Source organism: Homo sapiens, chromosome 19 (genome assembly GCF_000001405.40).
Source record: "Homo sapiens chromosome 19, GRCh38.p14 Primary Assembly".
NCBI lineage: Eukaryota > Metazoa > Chordata > Mammalia > Primates > Hominidae > Homo > Homo sapiens.
The window spans coordinates 13,017,545-13,032,739 of NC_000019.10; the positions used below are offsets into that span (position 1 = coordinate 13,017,545).

At 50.2% G+C, this 15,195-nt stretch overlaps 1 protein-coding gene across 14 annotated transcripts in view, besides 3 other annotated features; it reads left to right on the forward strand.

Moving 5' to 3' along the window:
- Positions 1–15,195, forward strand: part of NFIX (nuclear factor I X) — a 103,322-nt gene that overhangs the window by 22,070 nt on the left and 66,057 nt on the right. For 4 of the 14 annotated variants that reach the window (NM_001378404.1, NM_001271044.3, NM_001440616.1 and 1 more), the window contains exons 1-2: positions 6,428–6,490; positions 7,477–8,008. In NM_001378404.1, the coding sequence (NP_001365333.1) occupies positions 6,488–6,490; positions 7,477–8,008 (535 nt within the window). In that variant the 5' untranslated portion in view covers positions 6,428–6,487. Of the gene's footprint in view, positions 1–6,427; positions 6,491–7,034; positions 7,176–7,234; positions 8,009–15,195 lie in introns of those variants that run through there. The other 10 variants (XM_005259917.5, NM_001365983.2, XM_047438863.1 and 7 more) reach the window with 5 other exon arrangements.
- Positions 5,303–5,432: an enhancer, noted in NCBI's record as "active region_14103". NCBI's record gives its function as "activates an Ori minimal core promoter by ATAC-STARR-seq in GM12878 lymphoblastoid cells {active_cell/tissue: GM12878}" and the evidence as "EXISTENCE:reporter gene assay evidence [ECO:0000049][PMID:35858748]".
- Positions 5,866–6,378: an enhancer, noted in NCBI's record as "H3K4me1 hESC enhancer chr19:13134224-13134736 (GRCh37/hg19 assembly coordinates)". NCBI's record gives its function as "activates a minimal SCP1, AML or CMV promoter by ChIP-STARR-seq in primed H9 embryonic stem cells {active_cell/tissue: H9 hESC(primed)}" and the evidence as "EXISTENCE:reporter gene assay evidence [ECO:0000049][PMID:30033119]".
- Positions 7,345–8,164: an enhancer, noted in NCBI's record as "H3K27ac-H3K4me1 hESC enhancer chr19:13135703-13136522 (GRCh37/hg19 assembly coordinates)". NCBI's record gives its function as "activates a minimal SCP1, AML or CMV promoter by ChIP-STARR-seq in naive H9 embryonic stem cells {active_cell/tissue: H9 hESC(naive)}" and the evidence as "EXISTENCE:reporter gene assay evidence [ECO:0000049][PMID:30033119]".

A 15,195-nucleotide genomic window follows, 5' to 3' on the forward strand; every position in this document is an offset into this window, starting at 1 on the left:
CTGGTAAAAAATGAAGGGGGGTGTCTGGACTGATCCTGATGGAGCTCTTGCAGAGGGACTGGGAAGACCTCTGCCTTTTGGGTTTTGTCACCTTGCCCTGACCCCTCCGAAGGAGGGGATTTGCTGTGGTGCCTGGGGTGAGTTTTCAGCATTTTGCCATTTGCTCTGGCCTTCTCTCTCGACTTCCAGATATTTTCACAGTGTGCTGGGCACAGACCTCATCTTCACGCGCTGGTCTCTCTTTGCCTTGCCTTTTGTCACTTTTTCAGTTCTTCTTCAGAAAGAGTTATGAAGCTGGCCTGTGCAGTTCTTCCCTCTTCCCGGGCCCTTGGCCACCATGAAGTGACACTTCCCAAGCCGGTTAGGTGTGTGAGGCTCTGCACTTCCCTTGCCCCCGGAAGCCCTTCCCTGTCATCTGTCCTTCACGCACTTCGGAAGGTTTCATCCCCATGCAGCCTGCCGGCTGGAGAAGAGAGCTTTGGCCTTCCTGGCTTTTACTTCTGTTTGGTGACACAAGGAAGTTTCAAGCTAAATAATGAATTAAAGAGTAGGATTTTTGTTTCCCATTCCTTGTAGAGGATGAGATGAAAGTAAACAATTTCCAGTTGCCTTAGAGAGAATAGATTGTCTCCCCTAATATCCCCATTCCTACCCTATATTATTCTGTGCCAAGAGGGTAAGGGAGATGTGCCTGGAGCAGAGGAGCATTTGGAGCCAGAACGAGGCTGCCTGTTGGCCCGATCCCAGGCCACCGCTCCTGGTTTGTAGTCTGGAGGAGAAAAGGAAGGGGCGGGGGGGGGGGGGGGGCGCGGTTTACAGGAGAGAAGTGTGCGGCCTGGCTGTGAGGCAGACCCTGTCCTAGACCCAGCACTGGGGTGTGGGGCGAATCCATTCAGCCAGCATGAGGACACTGGAAAGAAACTGCGCAGAGCCGCCTTTCCTGAGCAGAGGAAAACAGGCCCAAGTCAGCCAAAAACCCGCTTTGTCCAAATTATCCGAGCTCCCTCGCAAAGTGCATTTTCCGGTTTCCATTCCTGGAGTTTCCAGACTTTTGGATGATTTTGTTCTGACTACAGAGCCCCTTCTCGTTGGCCCCCAACTGAGGGGAGGCCCCACCCTCCTCTAGGATAAGCAGCAGGGCCCCTTCCCTGGCTGCCCAGTGCTGCCGCTGCGTCATGTCTGCAGTTCCCTTCCCATCTCTGGCCGCTGTCTGGCCACTGTCTTCTTGTGGCCTTCCACGAAGCAGCAGTAATCTTGGGACAAGGTGGGAGAGCTCAGGGTTACGAAGCCGGCTTCTTTTGGTTCAGACCAAGGCTGAATTATAAAATTCCAACAATTGGGCAAACTAATTGGGGCCCTGTTTATGGCCTTTTTAATTTCCCATGTCCTTTCATACCCAGGCTGCAGATATGCTTTATTAAAATGGATACTGGAATATCTGGTCATTTCTGTGAAGTTTTGTAAGTTATTTGCTCTAATTGCCTGTAGTTACCCAGATCAACATGGGCCCAAGTGTCCAGGATCTGAAAGAATAAATCTGGGCCTTAAAGCCAGCAGGATGTGGACACATAGGATTTTTTTTTTTTTAAGATAAAGAAGGCTACTAAAAGTGGCCCTGTCTTAAAATATACAACTTCTTATGCTTCTAGATGTTTCACTATAGGTAGGTGCGGGCAGGTTGCAAAACCTATCTCAGTCTGGGAAGATTATTTTGTTTCCTTGAAGAATTTTTAACACTGTATATGTGAGTGAGGTGCTGTACATATTTTCCTATTTTTCTTCAAATAATCCATACAGGCTCAGTGGACAGGTCTGTTGTGTAGAGTTTTTGAAAACCATGCATTTCTTCTCATGGAGAAGCAGTCATTTTCCTTAACTGGTTTTTCTTTCTCTGCCGCGGTGCAGAGCCCTTTTCTGTCTTCTTATTTTTCTTCCTCTGCTGTTCTGTTTCCCTCCATCTTTGTCCTTCTTTCTTTTCAGTTGTGGGCCTAGCTTGGCACTCTCTCTCCAGGTTTGGCTTTTTTCTCTTTTTTCGTTCTCCTTCTCTCTATTTCTCTTTCTCCGTGGCCCTTTCAGTCTTTTTCTGTTGGGGGTACATTTCTCCTAGTGATGGCTGAAACTGGCATGGGTATGTATTTTAGAAATGTTTCAGTGAAAACTGTTGCTGGTTTTTTTTTTGTTTGTTTGTTTTTTTTTTTTTTTTACCAAATAGTACTCAACAATAAAAGACAGAGGCTTTTCTTCCATAATGGCAGCAAAATCCCTTTCCACAAACCAAAAACCCATATGAATTTTTAAAAAGTCTTATTTCTGGCTTCTCGATGATTTTTCTCTCCAATGGGGGAAATACCTTTCCCCCACAATGTTTCCTGCTTTTCCTTTTTTCCCCCCTTGTCTTTTTTTTTTCTCTTCCTATTACCAGCATCAGTGGCTTCCTTTCCCCATTTCCCATGTCCTTCTACTCTGTGGCCTGCATGTCCCCTTGCTCTTTCCATCACCTGAACTCTTACACTTGCCAGTGACTCAGACCTGGAGAAGCCTTGAATCGTATGAGGGATTTTTTGTCTTGATTCTGGTCTTTGGTGCAGGATGTAAAGCGGTCTGATCTCCTGCCTGGGGCTGGAGGGGAGAAGAGAAGGAGGCTGGGCTGGGAACAGGTAATCTTCCAACAGGAGCCTCCACTCTTTAACAAAAGGGGGACAGTTTCCTTTTGTCTAGGGCTCATGAGGGGCGTGTCTGGGCTGATGGCCGCCACCAGTGGCATGCAGGAGGAGGGGGCCCGCAGTGAAGGGTGCTTGAAATGTTTCTAATGGAACCCGAGCAATTCCTCTGTGTGCGCCCAAAATAGGAGGGGAGGAAGGGAGGGAGGGAGGAAAGAGAAATAGAGAAAGAGACCTTCTCATCTCCCGAAGCATCAGAATATCCTGGCCACTCCTCCAGAAAGGCCTCCTCCACTGGGAGCCAGCAGCCCATAGAGAGAATGGGGTGAGGGGAAAGTATTTGCCTGAGAATCTTCTGCCCACCTGCAAGGTTATAGCCACTGGCAGGAGAAGGACAATTGACAATTGTTCTTCCTCCAACTTTCTGCCCTGGGAAAGGCCTGTTGCTTCTTCTGTTAAGAGAGCCTTGAGGGGGTGCTTGGGGCTCTTTGTAGGTCCCTGAGGCTCTATTGAGACACTCTTCTGCCGCCTCTCCTCTGATCTCTCCGCCAGTCCGTGGAGTTTTGACCCCCAACCCCTCTCCAGGAGCCAGTCGTGCATCTTGTCCTGTTTCCCTAACTTCTACATGGATCCTTCCATCTGTCATTTCCCAGCTGTGGGACTGTTGCTGCCCCCACCTCTATCCCTGACCCAGTTGTACCACCAGATTCAGATTCAACCCATGTCGAGCATGTCTCTTCTACTGTGGCACTGTGGTCTGTGAAGTGGAACATGCCAGGATTCTCCAGGAGGCTCGTGTTGGCCATTTTCTGTTTGGTGTCTAATATTTAGTATAAATCAGAATACAAGAAAAACACCTCCATGCCAAATATAAACTCACTTGTAGTTTTTAATGACCTCATCTTGACTTTAGAAGGTAAAATTGTTTCCACAAGGTGGAGAGGCAGGATTTGGTACCTTATGTCATGTCTCTGAGCTAACATCTTTGGCTGATTGGACTGAAGCTGGTTATTAACATGATGTGAATTATTGGACACCACCCTAAGAGGCCTGTCTCTGATACCACCTGCCTTCTGTACTCTCACCTCTAACCGTTTCTTTCAGGGATCAGCCATGAGCTCAGTTCACTTGAGATGGATAATTCAGGGCACAGACTGGGGTCCCAGGTGTTGGGCAGCCCCTCTCCCATTGTCAGGGTTCAGCGCCAGCCCAGGGCTGGATGTTTTATTTTGGCATGCCCCAGGTGCTCTTCCGGGAACCTTTCTGCCAACATAAAGGCCACAAAGCACAGGGTTTCAGTTGGGGAAGAAAGGGGCACGAGTGAGCAGTGACCTTTTTTCCGTCGCCAGCTGAGGACTGAGCCTCGCTGAGGGAGAGGGCGGCTGTAGGGATGGGGTTCTGAGTGGAATTGGATCCCTTTCTCCCTGTCTGCAGCCACATCCTTCTTCCTCTGCTTTTCCTTTTATGTCATATCTATTTCCTTCTTACTGTGTTTCGAAGGCCTCAAGCATGGCTGCTCCATAGCTCTAACTGGAGAGACCCCCTCAGAAGTGGGACTCCCCTACCCAGTGCTCACCCTTTCTGCTTGCTGTGAGGAAGGTCCCCAAGTGGAGGACCAGAGCAGGGGCTCCCCGGTGGGTCACTTCTCTGTGACTTGATTTCCCCCAGGTGGCCTGTTTTTGATAGAGCCCTTTGCTGTTTTTTGTTGTGTCCTTTCTTAGCTCTTTTCTTTTCATTTGGGTTTCTCATTTTATACTTTTGCACTTTGCACTGCTAGGGTTTGGGCTCTTTAGTCTAAATTGATTTGGGAGACAGGTAAGAAAACTAATCTCAGGTCAACTGGAGAGGGCAGATCTGGAGAATTAAATGCCTGTGCAGTGGTGAGGGGCGTTGGTCAGATTCCTTGCCTCTGCTCAGAGGTAGTGTCCATCTTTTTGCCTTTGTCACTTCTCCCCGGGTCTGGCTGTTGTTTGTGGCTGCGTGTAGAGCTTGTCAGGCGGAGTGCTGTGACAGGAGGCTATTTTAATAAACTGTTGCAGTTTCTCGAGCCGAGCTGTGTTGCGTTGGCATCCCTCGTCACCGCTAATGGAGTGTGCGTGGCTGGGTGTGGGCCGAAGGAGGAGGCTGAGCTTGCTGGGGGCTGGGGGAGAAGGGAGGGACGTGTGGGGTGCTGGCCTCCCCCTTGTCTGAGAGTGCTCCTTCAGCAGCCAGACCTGGGGGCATCACAAGGTGGCAGTACCCTGGGCACCAGATCCCTGCCCTGGAAGTACTGCTGGCATGGACACTTTCTGAGCTCTCTTTCTTCTTATTTCTATTCATAGCACCGCAGGCCCGTGTGTATGTGGCCGGGGAGGAAAACTTCCACTCGCCCCTGTGTGCTCCATAGGAAGAAAAAAAAAAAGAAAGAAAGAAATAGAAACAGAAAAAGAGAGTGTGCAGGCCCGAGAGAAAGACTGAAACCAAAACACAGAGAGAAGGCGCAGCTGCTTCCCCAAGGCCTTCTGGGGCTCCCGCCCGCCAGCCCGCCGGGAGTCAGGCCTTTATTTATTTATTTTTCAGGCTTAAAAAAAAATTTCGAGTCTTCCACAATCCCAGTCCCCCCCAATGCCCCACCCCACCCCCAGATTTGCTGGGTGGCTGCTGCCAAATGGACCCGAGTGGGAGCCTGGAATGAAAAATTCATAACTGCTGGACTTTGCTTGTTCATTAGACGTGAACTTGTCGATTGGGCAAATTGTTTTTGGTCTCCAACTGCCGGGGGCTCTCCCCACCCTCCCTGCTCGCCCGGTTCCCTCCTCCCCTTGGACGCAGCCATTGGCTGCTCGTGGATGTCTCTTTGCCAAATAGGTGGATCCTTCTCTCTCTTTCTCTCTCTCTCTCTCTCTCTCTCTCTGTCTCTTTCTCCCCCCACCCCTTTTTACTGGCTTGGCACAAGCAAATGGATGGGGATTGAGCCTGAAAGGAGAGAGAGAGAGGGAGTTTGAGAGAGAGAAAAGGAGCAAAAAAAAAAAACACCCCAAAAACCCAACCAGTGCGCACACACACGCGCACACTCACACACACGCCCCATCCCATCCACGTCCTCCCTCGATCCTCGATCTCTCCCTCCCCCCCTTCTTCCTTTCCTCCCTCCCTCGCTCCCTCTCTCTCTTTTGCACGCGTCTGCCAGCAACGGTCTGCAGCCGGTCAGAACTCGTCCTCTTCCCCGGGAATCTGCGAGCTCCCCCTTTTCCTCCGATCAGGCAGCTCGAAGTTTACACCCCTGTGCCGCTGCCAAAGCCGAAAGCCTTTTTCTTCAGCTGCCGCTTTTTCCCTCCTGGGTTTTGTTTTTGTTTTTGTTTTGCACGGGGGTGGGGTGGGGTGCGTTGTTGGTTGTGGGGAGATGGTGGGAGGCTGGTTTTGATTTTTAAATTTTGCATTTTTTTCTTTTTTTTTTTTTTTAAACTGGAAGAGGATGCACAGGGGAAGAAATTGAAAAAAAAATTTTGTTGGCTTTTGTTTACCTGGCGTGTGTGGCAGCCGGCTCGCTCCCTCTCTCTGCTTGCTATCCCTGACCTTTCTTTCTTTTTGCTCCTTTTCAAAAAAAATATTAATTTCCCCCTTCTGTGCAATGGAGCATGGGGGGGGGGAGGAGGGGGAAGGGTTTGAGAATCCACCCAAGCCCGGCCCCTATTCCCCAGAACACCAATAATAACCCCCTTTAAAACATTTACCTTCCTCCCCTGCTCCTCCTCCTCCCCCCTCCCCCCACCCGCCCCCAACTCACAACTCTTTTGAGTCCAGAATCTCAGAATCGGGCGTTGGGCTTTGCCGGGTGCTTCAGATCAATGGTAATTATTTAATTTTTTCCAGTTTTATTTTTGTAAACAGAAATCAATTATTATTTAAACTTCAAACAAGCAAACAACCAAAAAAAAAAAAAAAAACCAAACAAAACCGAGAGAGCCCATCCTTCTGTCACCTGACTGAGTGGGAAAAAGGGTGAAGGGGTTGTGGGAGGCTGGGGAAGGGGTCGCAAGAAGACCCATGTAGCTTTTAACCCTAATGTGGCCGAGACAAGCACCTTATTTGTGCTAACAAGAAGTGTTTTGTTCATTATTACTGTGATTAACATTAGTATTGGTGTCGATAACAAAGCTGAAATCACATATTTAGGATTTAGGTCTGATTAAAAAATGTTGGGGTGGATGTTCCAACTGGATCAGGAGAAAAGAAAATGAAAACAGCCTGGGGAGAGGGAAGCCTGATCTGTTTCCTCACTCGCTTGCTCGTGGATGTCATTTTCTGTCTTCTTGGGGGCGGCCAAAAATCGACCGGTGTCGGGGACCAGAGGCGGCCCCGCACGCCCCCGCGTGTGCGTCCACGGGCGTCTGTGCAGACGGACACTGTGCCGGGGCGAGCTGACAGGAGTTCACGGCTGCGATAGAACATGGAGATGTCATGGGCGCGACAGAGCCTGGCGGGGATACCAGCAGCGTGTGTGTGTGGACGGCAACGTTGTCTGTGCGCGTGTGTGTGAGTGAGTGAGGGAGAGAGAGAGAGAATAGGTGTGTGTAGAGGCTCCCGGTGCCTCTGTCTGGCTGCTGAGGCTGAGATGGGAGCAAGTGGCTGGCGAAGCTGGTGGTGGCTTCAAACCACACTTTCGTAGAACAATCGCAAGAGAAAATTGTTGGGGGGAGGGAGGAGGAGGAGAAGGCGGTTTTCCTTGTGCCCCCCCTTCTAACGCTGCTTTTCTCCTTCTCTCTTTCCCCCTCATCCCGTCTTCCCCTCCTCCCGTCCTCCCTCGCCCCGCATGCTCCCGGCTTGCCGCCTGCAGGATGAGTTCCACCCGTTCATCGAGGCACTGCTGCCTCACGTCCGCGCTTTCTCCTACACCTGGTTCAACCTGCAGGCGCGGAAGCGCAAGTACTTCAAGAAGCATGAAAAGCGGATGTCGAAGGACGAGGAGCGGGCGGTGAAGGACGAGCTGCTGGGCGAGAAGCCCGAGATCAAGCAGAAGTGGGCATCCCGGCTGCTGGCCAAGCTGCGCAAGGACATCCGGCCCGAGTTCCGCGAGGACTTCGTGCTGACCATCACGGGCAAGAAGCCCCCCTGCTGCGTGCTCTCCAACCCCGACCAGAAGGGCAAGATCCGGCGGATTGACTGCCTGCGCCAGGCTGACAAGGTGTGGCGGCTGGACCTGGTCATGGTGATTTTGTTTAAGGGGATCCCCCTGGAAAGTACTGATGGGGAGCGGCTCTACAAGTCGCCTCAGTGCTCGAACCCCGGCCTGTGCGTCCAGCCACATCACATTGGAGTCACAATCAAAGAACTGGATCTTTATCTGGCTTACTTTGTCCACACTCCGGGTAGGTCGTTCTCAACCATTTTTCCCTCTCATTTTATTTTCCTTGCTGGCATTTGTTCTGTTTATTGTTCCTCTAATTTCCAAGCGATAACTCGCCATGGGCCTAACTGGTGTATGCCCGTCCTGCGGGGCCTGCAACACGGTTCTATGGGCCCTTTTCCTTTTTCCTGTCTTCTGTCTCCCCCGACCTGTTCTATTCTTCCTCCTCTGCCCCCTGGCCATGGTATCGACTTTGTGCATCTCCATCTTTGGAGGACTTATCTGATCAGAAAGATGCTGCAGGTCTTAGGATTGGGGACATGATGCCCCCAGAATTATCCATGATGGTGAGAGTTTGAGATGAACAACAACAGCAAACCAGTAATTGCTCTTATTAAAATGAGTCAGAAGAAGTATTGAGGGGCAGGTGCTAGTTTTACTGCAGCTTCACCTCCAGTCCCAGGAAAAACTGGGTTTGGTACAAGCGGGATGGGCAGGAGTCCGGTGGAGAGAAGGGGCATGTGAAACCCTGGGATATGAGACTGAATGAACAGAAAAGAGGAGAGAAGACAGTAGTGGGCAGATTCTGTGGCCTAAATACTCAGGCGGGAGCTGTTTTGGCTGGGATTTGGCTGTCAGTATGAAAGTAATTTGATTTCATAGAGAGTGAAAACAAGGACGAGATTCCTTGAGCTCTTTCCCTTCTCCTTATTTCAGCTAAAGTGGCAAGGCCTCAGGATGGATGCCCACAGCCCTGGCACTGGGGAGCAGAGAGGCTTTCTCGGGGCACAGGCATGGCAGGGAGCAGCGTTGCTGTGGAAGAGGTCTTAAACAAGCAAACAAACAAACCAAAAAAAAAAAAAACTCTGTAAAATCTCCTTTTCCTTTTGTGTTCCAAGTAGTTCTGCTTCTCTTCGCTTTTCCAGTTTTACCCTGCATTTTGGGTCAGGGTGGTTTAGTTCTCCTCCTCTGTTCCTTTTTTCCCTTACCCTTTCCCTTTTTATAATTTCTTTCCGCTTTTGTTTTCTTACAAATTGAAACAGAGATGGCTGGTTAATTTTTAGCCTCCACTCAGCTACGCCCAATTTACTGCCGCCTTTGAAACCTAAACGGGCGGCACTCTGTGATTAAGCAAGGCAGAAGTGTGTTTACATTATGCCCAACCAACTTGTAATGAGAGGGCTACCAAACCTTTCTCTCTCTCTCTCTCTCTCTGTGTGTGTGTGTGTGTGTGTGTGTTTCCTTTCCACCATTCCAGTATTTTTTCCCCTTCATTTTCCTTCTTCCTCTCTTTATGCGAATTTGAGAGAATGTGGCTTAACTTCAACTCTCGCAAAGGTTGTTTCTCCGCGAGTGTGTGTCTCTGTGTCTTTCTTCCTGTTCATTCACAAAAAAGAAAAGTGATTCACAATGGCTGTGGTCACCCCCTTGCCTGTTTGGGAAGTTGGGAGGAATGATATAACTGGATCCAGAAATAAAATTCGGGTTTGGGGGTGCTTTCAGCACTGCGTCAGGAATGTAATCTAGACTAGAGTGAGCCCTGAGTTTACATGTTGGAGAACTGTGGAGAGGAGAAGGTGGTATTGGAATTCTTGTCCTGAGAGGTTGCTTTGGTAACTGGTTAGAAGCAGGGGACACCACTCTCACCCCCCAAGTCTCTACCTACTTCTGTGGATCTTTCTAGGCCTGCATCCGGCCCTGTGTGACCATCGTGACCCGTCATGCAGAAGGGCCAGGTGCCAGTCATTCCCCCTCCCTTCAGCTTGAATTTTTTCTTTTGTCTTTTTTCTTTTTGGAAAACAGACTGAGAGGGAAAAAAAAGTTATCCCCTCATTCTCTGTCTATACAGCAAGCCAGATTTGGGAGGGTGTGTGCCTGGTAGTATTGGAGGTGACTGGTGGCTTGCAGAAGGCTCGGAGCCTCGAGCTTACCAGTGTGGCCATCAGATACTCCTGCACAAGGGGATTCTGCACCTTCCAATTTTAGAACCAGGGGCTCGAGAGCATCTAAGATGAAAATCAACACTCATCTTCCTCTGAGCTGGCTTCCTCCAACCCCGCTCTCTGACTGGATCCTTGTAGCTGAGTTGTTTCCCTGGCCTCTTTTATTTTAGGCCGAATTCTTGACTGCTGCCAGTGTGGGGCTAAGGTAGGATGAAAAGTATGTGAGGAAGCAGACCGTTTCCTGGCCAGAAGAAAGGCCCCACCATGCCTCCCTGCCAGCTTAAGAGATCATTCGCCCAGGAATATGAGTGAATTCATACCCCATTCCATGTAGCCGAGGCCACTTCTCTGGGCTGGGGCTGAGGCCGAGTCTCCTCTACAAAAGCAGAGTAGGGAACTAAGGGTGTATTTTATATCATTCAGGCCCCAGACTCCAGATAATTTCAGTGAAGGTAGGATTTTTCTCACTGGAATTGCTTTAGTTTGAGTGTGCCTTCCTGAAGTGAGTTGAGGCGAGTTGGCGCAGCCCGGGCCACCAGTGGGCTGCATCACTTGTTCCTCTTTGGAGTTGGGTTGGGTGGTCTTGAGATGGCACAGACCAGGCATGGCTTGCTTCCTCCTTGAGCTGGCAAGAAATAAAAACATTTCTTGCTTTGCTAGAAAATGTCTTCTGTGGCTGAGCCACCAAAGAGCATCGATCTGTGGGCACCACTTTCTCCATGCCCATGCCTGCCAGGCACACTCAGCAGAGCTGCCACTTGCTCCTTCCTTCCAGGATGATAAACTGGGGACAGGGGCCGGGATGGCACAGGCTCAGACAAGAGCTGCTTTGGACTCTGAAATAAGTGTTTTTCCTTTTCTTAAGACAGGGCTGAAGAGCCAGATCTGGGCTGAGCTGGGGGTCCTGGGTTTCATGACAGTAACGGTGATGTGGTGGTAAATGTGGGGGTGTGGCTTTGCTCCCAGGTGCCATTGTCACCCATGGCCTTCCTGAGCCCTTGTTATGTCCCAGATGAAGCTTCAAGAGATGACATGTTCGAGAGGGAATAAAGGACGTGTGTTTGGCGTTGAAACTCCACTCCCAGAATACTGGGTCCAAATACAGAATACTAGGTCCAAAAGGCTGCCATGCGGCTGGCCTTCCTGCTGGGAAGGAGTCTGTCTGTGTGTCTGTCTGTGTTTAGGAAGGGAGGTTGAGGCAGGGCAGGGTCAGAGAGCACTGCCGTGGGGAGGAGGGTATCCATTTCCTGGTGATATCCTTCCATTCAAAGCGGGTATCCCAGAACAGGTGGCCAGGGACGGGTGAGCTGGGGAGGGCCAGGAGAGAGATCTCTGCTTGTGTGAGAAAGGATGGCCGAGCTGGCCTAGAACCGCTGCTAGACTATCTCCAAAGTTTCTGCAGCACCCTGAAGGTGAACCAGTGCCTTCAGACCTTCCCTGACACCTAAGCCTTGGTCCTAGGAAAGAAAAAAAAAAATCCAAAGCTAACAAAATACTTGAGCGAATGGAACTGTCAGCGTCACCCTGTCAGATCCCTCCTGTGCGCCTGCAGCGGAATCCCCACGAAGTCCAGGTATTTGAGTGGTGGCTCTTTTCTTTATCTAAACTCTTTAATGATGGAGAGCTTCCCACATAGAAAGAACTCCTGTGTACCCACCACTAGTGCCAGCAATCGCCAGATCACGGCCAATCTCAATTCAACCATCCTCCCAACTGCCCACCCATGCTGAGTTATTTAGAAGATCCAGGCATTATAGCTTTTCATCTGTAAATGTTTTTGTGCACATCTCTAAAGATACGGACTCTTGAAAAACCAAACCACAATACCACTATTATACCCATTAAAAATTCAGCATTTTTTTTTAGTATCATCAGATACTGGTTAATGTTCACATTTCCCTAATTATCACTTAATTTTTTGTTTATAGTTTGTTTGAATCAGGATCCAGATGGGGTCAGTCCTGCATTGCGATGGGTTGATCAGTCTCAAAAGACTCATCATAATCTCTAGGTAGTCCTTCTCCTCTTCCTCTTCCTTAGTCTTGGTTTCTTTTCTGGCAGTTGTCATTGTTGTTGTCGTTGAAGGAAACAGGTTGTTTGTCCTGTGGGGTTTCCTCAGCTGGACTCTGCAGGCTGCGCTGCCCCGAGTGATTCAGTGAGTGTGGTGCTCTGAGAGCAGATTCGGCCTCCCCTCCCTCCCTACCTTCAGGTCCCGGGACAGCTGAGCTTAGCCTTACCTGTCGCAGGAAATGGGTTAGCACCTGAAGATTTGTCTAAGTGAACTTTTTCACCTGTGGGGTTGCCTTCTCAGGTATGAGAGCTTCTTGGTTTCGGCACTCTAGTTTAGGGTTTGGGGCTTTGTAGCAGGCACTAGTTTTCAGGTCTGAGGGAGGGCTGCCCATCCACGTCCTTCCTTGGCGGTGGAGGGCATTGTTCAGCTGTGTCCATACTGCCAAGACGGGGCTGGTGCCAGCGAGGTTCCCCAAGCCTTTGCTGGATGCCCAACCCGACTGTTGGCTCTGGGGTGAGTATGTGGGAGGGTCCACAGGAGCACCCGCCGCTTTCTCCAGGTCCACCCCCACCATGGACCCTGTGCCGCCTCATCCATTGCCTCCTTTTTCAAGGCCCAGAAATGCCACTGGTCTGCGTCTTTGAGGCAGCGCCATCTGGTGCCAGGGCTGACAAAGATCGCAGGGCCCTGGAACTGACGCCTAAAATTAGCAGGATCTACAGATTATCTTTTAACCCAATGTAGGGTCCCCTTTAGAACATCCCAGAAGAGGTGTCACTGTCATTCAAAGGTCAGCTTTGGTTGTAAAATTCTTCCATTCTTCCATGTCTAGCTTGTAGGATGGTTCCAGGGATTAAACCAGCTAATATGTAAAGATACCGGCACATAGCAGGACGGCAGCTGCTGTGATTGAGGACAATTGTTATGATTTAGGGAGCCCAAGGCTGACTCTCTGTCACCTTTACTTGTTGGTCTTTTTTTTCTCTTAAGGGATGACCCAGGTGAAAGCTGATTTTCCTGTAACAGGACAGCATTTGAAATACCAAAGGCAGCTCTTATGTCTCCCTTCCACCCTTCTCCCCAGGAAGCTGTCTCCTCTCCAGCCTGAATATCACCAGTCCCTAATGCCTCCCACATTTCACATGGCTCCTAGTGCCCTTGCCATTTTGGTAACCACCTCCTGGAAGCCCTCTGGTTTGTTTTGGTCCCTCTGATTCATAAAATTTCTGAAACTGGAGTGTTCAGAATTGAACACAGAAACTCCAAGCATGATCAGATCCTAGCCAGCCATGGTGGCTACATAATTTTCAGGGCCTTCCAGCTACATACTGTGCAGGGCTCAGTGCAAAATGAAAATGTGGGGCTCCTTGTTCAAAATTTTTAGGAATTACAGCACGACATCAGTTAGAGCATTTAACCAAGCGTGGGGGGCACGCAAGTTGCACACCCGTGAAGCTGGCCCTGGCCACCTTTGTTTTGGACATTCGTGTCTGTTAATACAACTTGGGGTGCTGGGTCTGGGTGATGTGGAATAATGATGGGGCTCAGGCTGGCCTCAGAGCGGGGCATGACCCCAAAGAGGAGAACAGAAATGCCCAGACCCAATCCTTATGCTTGGGCTTGGTCTTATTCTCAGACTCCTTTGACCACCTGCTCTTGTCCCTTTTGTTCATAGTGCTGTCCACCCAACCAGTCAAGAGCTCCCATTGCCTACAACATGCAGGGGGTTTCTCAGTAGAGTGCTTGCTCTGCTGGCTGAATTGGAGGCTATGACATGGGGGAAAAAAGAGTCACCTTTGTCGGAGCTTGAGCCAGCAAAGCGCCGACCGTGAACAAGCCAGAGGGGACCTAGAGGCCTGATCCCATAATTATGGGCATGGTGACCAGCCGTGCTCTATTGCTGACCCAGAGGAAACAGGGCTACTCTGCAGCAGAAGGGCTGGGGTCCAGACGTGCAGAAGGACTTCCTGAGAACTTGGTTTACTTTTTGGCGCTTCCAAAGCATGGTAGAATTCCCTTTATCCATGAAATGCACACTTAGTCAACTTACTGTGAGCAAGGTCCTGGCCTAGGGGTTCCTAGATCTCTAAGAATAAGAGAATCTTGCGTGTACCTGGCAGGCTTTGGGTAAAGGCCCGATGATATCTTCTAGAAGGCTTCCTCCCGTAGGCGTAGGCGTGAACCTGCAGTGACCCATGCTGGAGGGGAGGGAAAGCCCAAAGGGCCTTATTTGGGGGATAGCTCACAGTGGGCTGTGAATTGGGAGGCAAGGTCCTTCTTGGCCACCCTCTAGTGTTACAGAGACCTGGGATGCCAGAGGAAGAGTGGGTTAGAAGGGGTAATGAGGCCAGTGCTACGTTCTCCCTCTGTCCTGGCTTCCTGTAGCAGCTGGGCAGAGAGGGGACAGCTGAGTGTCCCCTTTTCTGCCTAGGGAAGAAGGTGACTCCCTCCCCACCCCTTTTTCTCTTTGCCCTGTCCGTCCCATCCCTCCACCCCCGCCCTTCTGTCTCAGGAGCTGCCACGCTTCAGTTATTTTATCCTTCAGTGTCCGATTCAGAAGTCTTTTCAAAGGCCCCAGCCGTGTCAGCGCGGTGCTCGCACAAAAGGCCTCTTTGATTTCTTGTTTGTTTTCATTTGCCAGTGGAGGGGGAGGGGGGCAGGAGAGAAAGAGCTTCTGGGTTTTAAAATTTTTATTTGGGTTGCTTCATTCTCAGAGGAGTTGGCTCCCTGGAACTCCTTTCTGAGTTGGGGGCTCAGAGTTGAACGGCAGCCTTCTGAAGAGAGGGCTAGTGTAGGAGTGGAGGGTTGGGTGGAGCTCCCAGGGTGACAGGAGGAGGTGTAGGGGTTTAAATATAGTTATTGATTCATCCTACAAACACTTTGGGCAGATCTTATGTGCTAGGCCTAAGGGCAGCCCTGCCTGTTGGGTAGAGGAAAGGTCTGAGGTGTCTGGCACATGACATTCCCCTGTGTGTTGCATCGTTCGAGGACTCCTCACAGCTGTGGATTTGCACAGTTGTGAACTTTGACTTTGTTATTTTTCCTTTTTTGTCCCAGATTCCGCCTTTGAAGGGATTCTACTAGCATACACACTTCTTGGAGACTCAGTACTTCAGAATACAGGTTGGGGCTTCCCACCCTAAATCAGAGAATGAGGGAGAGGGAGTGAGAGGTTTATAGAGCAGCTAGGTGTCTTCCTGGGAATGGTGTGCAGAGGACCTGGGCCCACAGCTTGTTTTGGACTTTGAGGGCAGG